We start from the raw sequence: 9,487 nt of genomic DNA, 5'->3' as shown, positions 1-9,487 counted from the left end.
AGAATGGAATTCCCCACTAAGAAACAACCTGTTCTCGCCAAAGTAGTTTTCATTTTCTCTGTTTTGAATGTGAATATAAGTATTAGGTAGCTTTTTCTTACCAAAGGACAGAGGCTCTTCCCCTTTTCCTCCATGGACCCATGGGTCTTGATTCTACCAGCTGCTGTAAGGGAGCAGAACGCCTGCCATCTCCATTCTTCAGAGACTGCTTAGTTTTGAAGTTTGGAATTCTTGCTCTGTAATAAAACAAAATGAACTAAAATCATTTGGCCTCCTTATACCACAGGGGAGTTCTTGAGCTAAGAGTTACCCAGAATGACACTGGGAATGAAGAGTGTAAGCCGGCAGGAGAGGGTCTCACCTCCAGCACTGGTGCAGGTCTCAGCTCTGGCTGCCAGACGAAGAGGAAGGCCTGGAGAACTTAGGCAAAGAAATTGTAAAACATGCACCTGCTCACCCACATACACATAAACATACACTCACCCACACAGTCACATTCACACACAAACACACATACACAACCACACTCACACCCATTCACACATGCACACACTCTCACAGAGTCTCACACATTCACCTCACACACGCTCCCAGAATCACACAGACACCTCACACACACCCACACAGTCACATTAACACACACCCACACAACCACACTCACCCATTCACACAGGCACACACTCTCACAGTCTCACACATTCACCTCAGACTCCCACAATCACACAGACACCTTACACACACTGACCCAGATAGTCACATTCACATATATACAACCACTCTCACACCCACTCACACATGCACACCTTTCACACACATACACCTCATACATGCTTCCACAATCACACAGACACCTCACACACAGTCACACAGTCACATTCACACACTCACATATACACAACCACACTCACACCCATTCACATATGCACACACTCTCACACAGTCACACAATACACCTCACACATTCCCGCAATCACACAAGACAACTCATACACACCCAGTCACATACACACACTCATCTATACACAACCACACACCCATTCACACATGCACACACTCACACAGTCACACACATACACGTCATACACGCTCCCACAATCACAGATACCTCACACACACTCACCCAGTCATAGTCACATATACACAACCACACTCACACCCATTCATATATGCACACACTCTCACAGTCACACACAGACATCTCATACATGCTCCCACGATCACACACAGACATCTCTCACACACACACATGCTCCCTCAATCACACACAGACACCTCACACACACTCATACATACATGATCACACAATGGCACATAGACACTTCACACACACACACACCCACAAGATCAAACACAGACACCTCACACACACTCTCACACACACAGACATCTCACACATACACACATGCTCACACAATCACACACAGACAGGTCACATATGCCCAAACTCATACACCTAATACACATGCCCACACAAATACACACAGGCACCTCACACACACATACACCCACACAATCACACACAGGCACCTCACAGACTCACACACACTCACACAATCACACGCAGACACATCACACACGCTCACACTCATACACATGCTCACAACCACACACAGACACCTCACACCCTCACACACATGCTCACACTCATGCAGACACCTCACAATCACACTCATACACACGCTCATACAATCACACAAGAACACCTCACACATGCTTGCACTCACACAATGGCACAGGCACCTCACACATGCTCACACTCATACACACACACAACCACACACAGACACCTCACATGTTCACACACTCACACAGACATGTAACAATCACACTCATACACACGTTCACACAATCACACAAACACACACTCACTCATACACACACACTATCACACAGAAACCTCACACACATTCACACTCATAGACATGGTAACAATCACACAGAGACACCTCACACACTCACACTCATACACACTCACAATCACACACAGACACTTCACACATGCTCTCACACACACAGACACCTCACAATCACACTCATACACATGCTTATACAATCACAAACACCTCAAACATGCTCACACTCACACACATGCTCACACAATCATACACAGGCACCTCCAACCTGCTAACTCATTCACATGCTCACACAACCACACACACAGACACCTCACAATCACACTCATACACACGCATACACAATCACACACAAACATACTCACACTCATACACACGCTCACACAATCACACACAGAGATCTCACACACTCACACTCATAGACATGCTCACTCACTTCACACTCACACTCACATAATGACACACAGACACCTCATGCAGGCTCACACTCATACACACTGGCACAATTACACTCTTACACATGCAATCTGGACTAACTTGAAGGAGCATGGGCTTCTTTGATCCTGTGTCAAAAATCAACAGAACTGCAGGTCTGGTGACTTCAGGGACCCAGGCTCCAGCCATGGTCAGGAGGAGGAGCAGGTGGTCCCGCTCGTGAGAGCCGCCCTGACTGGCTCTCTGTCCCTCTATCCTCTGCCAGCTCGACTGCCTCTCTAGTCATCATCCCATTCCTCACCATTCTCCTGAAACCCGACCTTTACCTGCTCAGGGGCGTGGCGCAGGGCTGACTTCCAGGAGCCAGCGCAGCTGATGCCTGTTGGTGATTGTGCTTGTCCTGAGAACAGAACCTGGACCACAAACTGCAGAGAGCCCCCACGGAGGGCTGGGTGCTGGGGGTTGAAGGGTGTGAGGTGGACACCCTGTCTCTGAGGAGCTCTCCCACTGGCTGAGGGAGAAGGACCTTGCTGCAGCCCCTCACCCAGGCCATTTAGAAGTCTGCAGTGGAGTGGCAGAAGGAGCTCAGGCACCCCTGAGCCGTGCCAACACCAGGGAGCCAGTGGCAGCTGATTCTCCTTTAGTGATGTGGCCCCTCCCCAGGTCCTGCGGCCTGGGGCCGGGACTGCTGTCCATGGTGCTGACGCAGAACTTCAGTGATCCCAGTGCCCAAACAGCCATCGGCAGCACGAAAGGGAGGCAGGGAGAGGCTTGAAACGTTTCAAGATAAACCCTACCTAGCTTCGGTCTGAAAGAAACAAGAGGAAGTAAAGAAAAGGCAGCTTGAAGCAAAGCTGAAACTGCATAAAATCTTTCTAGAAAAGAAGCAATTGTTAGGGCCCTGTGGCCTTTGTACAGCACAGGCTGGGGTAGAAGCTGCCAACACGTCTAAGAAGCAGGAATGTCTTTGAACACCATCCTGGGGCAGCACTCTGAGTTCCATGATCGCACTCATTCCCTGAAGATCCAAATTCCAGTGTCTTCTGCTTTTCCCAAATCAAGTCTGAGAGAGATTTTTGCACCTACCCATCACCAAATGATTCAGGGAAGGCCACCTGCCTATGAATGGAAATGTGAGCTATAGGAAGTCAAGACAAAGCATCCGTGGAGAATCAAGGCAGCAATTCACTTTCACAAATCGCTAACACCTCTCATCGACCATCTGGCTCTGCCACAAGTTAAGCGAGCTTGTTAACTTGTTGGAGATGTGACTGCCAAATCAAGACATCCCCCAAGGGTGGATGGGGAAGGGGGTTTTCTCCAATAAGGGCAGACTGTGAATTAGGGATCCACGTGGAATCTAGCAAAGGAGCTACAAGGGGAAGCTGCTGAGCATGTGAAGAAGTGACCCAAGCTCCATTTTTCCCGGCATTTATTTACATAAATAGTTTACTTATATTCTAGAACGGGTTGAATCCTGTGTGTGCTGGGAATTTGAAGGAGATACTGAATTCAGAAACCCTTTAAAGAACAGATTTGGTTCAGGTATCAGATGATCGGGTATTGGAATGCTTGTACCTGAGCTCCTCCAAATCCCAACTTTACCCCTGCATAGGTGGTTGCTCCAATACTCTGGTATTAGCAAGTATTGCAGCATCCAGTACCACATGTACCGGGTTATTGATTTGTCCAATTCTAGCACAACAGGACAAGGTTCTCAGCATCTCAACCTTTCAAAGCTCAAAGGACATTTTACAAATTAGACCGTACTGACTATGCTTCCGATGTTCTACTAATTTGGTTCCTATGTGTGATTTCACATATGTGTACAGTATGGGAAAGCCAGAGGCTCACAGGATGGAACTATTTTGCTAAACCTATTGATAAAAATGTCTTTCCTTTACTCCTGAGGAGAGATGATATTATAATCCTCTCTGATGCTAAGTGAAAAAAAAAAAAACTATCCAAGCAGAGTGTTCCCCAGGTATTTGTGCTGACCTGAACCTCTACTCCAGGGAAGGTTTCTATTGATCAGACTATATGAGCCTCTTTATGGTTCCATGTGAAGAACATACAATAGGCCAACTTTTCATGGGTTTCTTTAGAGTCCACAGCCCCACCTGAATGTTGAATTGCTCAGAGAGTTTCTACCTGGAAAACAAAGGTCTTTATAATAATAATCCATTCCAAAGAGTTCAGTTTTTCTGTCCAGAGTTCGGTTACTGACAATGGTGTGACAGAGGACATATTTTTTCCCAAGAACGTTATTAACTTAGCCCTGACTTTCAGGTTTTATGCTACTCATATTAGTCACCCAATTTTCAATACATCTTGGTCAAGTTAAATATAAGAAATACATCCACATAAAACCAAAAAGCAATCCAAATGATAGATTCATAAGCAAGGCAGAATTTTCTCCTTCTTTATGAAAATGATAGTATTCTGTGAAGGAAGTAGGATAAAAACGATTGCTTTTACTGCAAATGCAATGGTCTAAGAGTTTGGATAGTTTTACGTAGGATCTGCTGATCACACAGCTTTTAGTAATAATGTTCAGAGAGGAAATATCACCATCCAATATGATGCTTCTCCCGTAATGTATCTAGCATGTCCCTATGTGGCATTGCTAGTGGAGAAAAATGCCTACAGAAAAGCAGCTAAGAAGGGCTTGTTTCACCTGCAAGTTTTGCTTTATTGATCTGTACGGCCCTAGCGGTCTCTTGTCTGTGGCGCCTCTCCTTGCAAATGATGTATGTGCGTTTTTACAGAGATCATCTGGAGACAAAGCCATAGCTTTAGAGAAGTGGCACTAATGCGCAGTTGCTGTGCAGCTTCTCTTGTCAATATGGCATCACTACCACCCTTTCTGAATACATTGCAAATGCAGTTGCTACATTGCAAACGCAGCCAAATTTTGTGTGAATTTCCCAGGAGTCCCTTCTCTGTACAGTGCTGAGTTAGAGTCATCCAAAGAGAAATATGTGCATGAGATTTGCAATATGAAATAGAGGAATGGACTTTCTTCTCCAAGGCAGTTGGAGACAGGATGTCGACAGAAGTGAAGTTCTTACCATCTCTAGCCATTGAATTTTTTGTGCTTGCACTTTGGGGTCCTGAAGCCTGAATCAAAATTCTGTGGCAGGCTCTAAGTGCCCATGGAGATGTGGAAATAAACACTATAGTTACTGTCCTCACAAAGCCCAAGCCTGTCATCAAAGGGGACCAATAACAACAATAAGTCCATTACCATGTGGCTTGTGCTACACACCTTGATGCAGGTGCTGAAGGGGCAATTGCCTGCCTTGTAGATGACAGTAGGCTTCCCCGGGGGTTGGGAGGTCCAATGCCTTGTAGATGACAGCAGGCTTCCCCCGGGGTGGGGAGGTCCAAGCCAGGATGGAGGGGTGGAGAGGGAGCTGTCACTCTTTGAAATCCTCCCAGAGAGTATGCTGATGCAGGGCCCTGAGAAAGGTAACCAGACTAACAAAAGATGTACGGGAAATACACGTGGAAAGCTACAAAACTCCAATAAAATAAATCAAAGAACTAAATGAATGGAGAAAACTTCCCTGTTCATGGGCTGGAAACTTGATATTTTTAAGATGCCAATTCTTCCAAAATTGATCTATAGATAAAGCACAGTATTATTCACAACACCAGCAAGTTACTGTGTGGATACTGACAAACTGGTCCTAAAGCTTATATGGTAAGATGAAAGACCAAGACTAGCCAACACAATACTTAAAAAAAATATATTGGAGGACTGACGGTACCTGACAATAAGACAGTAATCAAGACAGCACAGTATTGGTGAAAGAATAGACACATAGATCAATGGAACAGAATAGAGAGCCCAGAAATAAATCCACACAAATACAGTCAACTAATTTTTGACAAAGGAACAAAGGCAATTCAATGGAAAAAAAGCATAGCCTTTTCAACAAACGATGTTAGAACAACTGGATGTCAATGTGTGAAAAAAAATCTAGGCACAGACCTTACAACTTTCACAAAAATTAATTCAAAATGTATCAGAAAGCTGATAAAATGCCGTATTATAAAATATGTTGAAGAAAACATATAAGAAAAGCTGTGCGACTTTGAGTTTTTGGACACGACACCAAAAACATGATCCATGAATGAAAAAATTAGTGAGTTAGACTTTATTAACATTTTAAAACTTTGTTCTGTGAGAGAAACTATTAAAAGAAGGAAAAGCCAAGCCACAAGCTGGGAGAAAATATTTGCAAGATACACATCTGATAAAGGTTGATATCAAAATACACATCTGATAAAGGTTGATATCAAAATACACATATGATAAAGGTTGATATCAAAATACACATCTGATAAAGGTTGATATCAAAATACACATCTGATAAAGGCTGATATCAAAATACACATCTGATAAAGGTCAATATCCAAATACATAGAGAACTCTCAAAACTCAATAATGAGAAAAAGAAGCACAGTTTTTAAATTAGGCAGAAACACCAAGCAGACACTTCACCAAAGCAGATATACAGATGGCAGATAAACATATGAAAAGATGCTCAAAATCGAATCGCTTGAATCCAGGAGGCAGAGGTTGCAGTGAGCCGAGATCACGCCATTGCACTCCGGCCTGGGCAACAGAGTGAAACACTGTCTCAAAAAAATAAATAAACAAATAAAAAAAAGAAAAGATGCTCAACATCATTTTTTTTTTTTGAGACAGGGTCTCGCTTTATCATCCAGGCTGCAGTGTGGGGGTGCAATTATGGCTTACTGCAGCCTCAATCTCCTGAGCTCAAGTGATCCTCCTGCCTCAGCTTCCCAAGTAGCTGGGACCACAGGCATGCGCCACCATGCCAAGCTAATTTTTCAAAATTTTTGTAGAGATGAGGTCTCATTATGTTGCCAGGCTGTATCAAACTCCTAGGCTCAAGTGATCCTCCCACCACAGCCCCCCAAAGTTCTAAGATTACAGATGTGAGCCACAATGCCAAGCCTCAACATCATTTATTAGTGAATTGCAAATTAAACAACAACAAGGACAACTACACACACATTAGAAGGGCTAAAATCCAAAACTGACAATGCCCAGTGCTGACAAGGATGTGAAGCCACAGGAGCTCTCATTGGTTGCAAAATGCAAAGTGTGCAGCCACTGTGGAAGACAGGTTAGCAGTTTCTCACAATGCAAAACACAGCCATGCCACAGAGTTCTGCAATCACACTCCTAGGAACTTACCCAACTGATTTGAAAACTTATGATTAAGCCCAACTCTGAATGCAAATGTTTATAGCAGCTCCATTCATAATTGCCCAGAACTGGAAGCAATCAAGATGTCTTTCAGTAGGTGAATGGATAAACAAACTGTGGCCCATCCATTCATTCACTGTAATACTATTCAGAGATGAAAATAAGTGAGCTATCAAAGCGCAGAAAGATGTGGAGGAAACTTGAATGCACATTACTGAATGAAAGAAGCCGATGTGAAAAGACTACAGACTTTATGACCCCAATTATATGACATTCTGGAAAAGGCAACACCACAAAGGCAGAAAAACAATTAGTAGTTTCCAGTAGGAAGGAGCCACTTCAGGAGGGAGAAGAGAGCTTTCTGGAGACAGAATAAGTGAAGTACAGGAGGCTTTTAGAGTGGTAAACGTGTACTGTATATACTCTAATAGTGATGGAATAGGTGAAGTACAGGAGATTTTTAGAGTGGTAAACATGTACTGTATATACTCTAATAGTGATGGAATAGGTGAAATACAGGAGACTTTTAGAGTGGTAAACGTGTACTGTATATACTCTAATAGTGACAGAATAGGTGAAGTACAGGAGATTTTTAGAGTGGTAAACGTGTACTGTATATACTCTAATAGTGATGGAATAGGTGAAATACAGGAGATTTTTAGAGTGGTAAACGTGTACTGTATATACTCTAACAGTGACAGAATAAGTGAAGTACAGGAGGTTTTTAGAGTGGTAAACGTCTACTGTATATACTCTAATAGTGACGGAATAGGTGAAGTATAGGAGGTTTTTAGAGTGGTAAATGTGTACTGTATATACTCTAATAGTGACGGAATAAGTGAAGTACGGGAGGTTTTTAGAGTGGTAAACGTGTACTGTATATACTCTAATAGTGACGGAATAAGTGAAGTACAGGAGATTTTTAGAGTGGTAAATGTGTACTGTATATACTCTAATAGTGATGGAATAAGTGAAGTACAGGAGATTTTTAGAGTGGTAAACGTGTACTGTATATACCCTAATAGTGACAGAATAAGTGAAGTACAGGAGGTTTTTAGAGTGGTAAATGTGTACTGTATATACTCTAATACTGACGGAATAGGTGAAATACAGGAGATTTTTAGAGTGGTAAACGTGTACTGTATATACTTTAATAGTGACGGAATAGGTGAAATACAGGAGGTTTTTAGAGTGGTAAATGTGTACTGTATATACTCTAATAGTGACGGAATAGGTGAAGTATAGGAGGCTTTTAGAGTGGTAAATGTGTACTGTATATACTCTAATAGTGACAGAATAAGTGAAGTACAGGGGATTTTTAGAGTGGTAAACGTGTACTGTATATAGTCTAATAGTGATGGAACAGGTGAAATATAGGAGGTTTTCAGAGTGGTAAACCTGTACTGTATATACTCTAATAGTGATGGAACAGGTGAAATACAGGAGGTTTTTAGAGTGGTAAACGTGTACTGTATATACTCTAATAGTGACGGAATAGGTGAAATACAGGAGGTTTTTAGAGTGGTAAACGTGTACTGTATATACTCTAATAGTGATGCATAACATTATGCATGTGTCAAAACCCATAGAACTTCACAGAATAAAAAGTGATCCTTAATGAATGAAAACTTAAAAAGTGACTGAGGAAGTCAGGGACCCCAGGAAGAAATGCAGACTGTGATAAGACATGGGTAATATCTGCTGCATTACAAATATATAAAGCAACCTCACTGAACCAGGTGGGGAGGGGCTGACTTAAGCAACTTTAGAAATGAGTGGCCACTGTGAGACCATAGGCAGAGGGAACTCTATGGAAGAACCAGACTCTAGTTGATAATGTTCCTCCCCACACAAGAATACCTGCTAGCAATTCAGATACTTTCCCAGATACGCTGGAACTGAACAATTAAGTAAATGACCGGTGGATGGGAGCACCTGATTTTTCAATACTGGA

At 42.8% G+C, this 9,487-nt stretch overlaps 2 annotated features.

The window, feature by feature from the left end:
• Positions 2,266-2,766: an enhancer, noted in NCBI's record as "H3K4me1 hESC enhancer chr10:132722795-132723295 (GRCh37/hg19 assembly coordinates)". NCBI's record gives its function as "activates a minimal SCP1, AML or CMV promoter by ChIP-STARR-seq in primed H9 embryonic stem cells {active_cell/tissue: H9 hESC(primed)}" and the evidence as "EXISTENCE:reporter gene assay evidence [ECO:0000049][PMID:30033119]".
• Positions 2,885-3,085: a silencer, noted in NCBI's record as "peak1130 fragment used in MPRA reporter construct". NCBI's record gives its function as "represses an SCP1 promoter by STARR-seq MPRAs in K562 erythroleukemia cells {active_cell/tissue: K562}" and the evidence as "EXISTENCE:reporter gene assay evidence [ECO:0000049][PMID:32103011]".

This window comes from Homo sapiens, chromosome 10, assembly GCF_000001405.40.
Source record: "Homo sapiens chromosome 10, GRCh38.p14 Primary Assembly".
In the NCBI taxonomy this organism is placed as follows: domain Eukaryota; kingdom Metazoa; phylum Chordata; class Mammalia; order Primates; family Hominidae; genus Homo; species Homo sapiens.
This window is presented reverse-complemented; position numbering and strand designations above follow the sequence as displayed.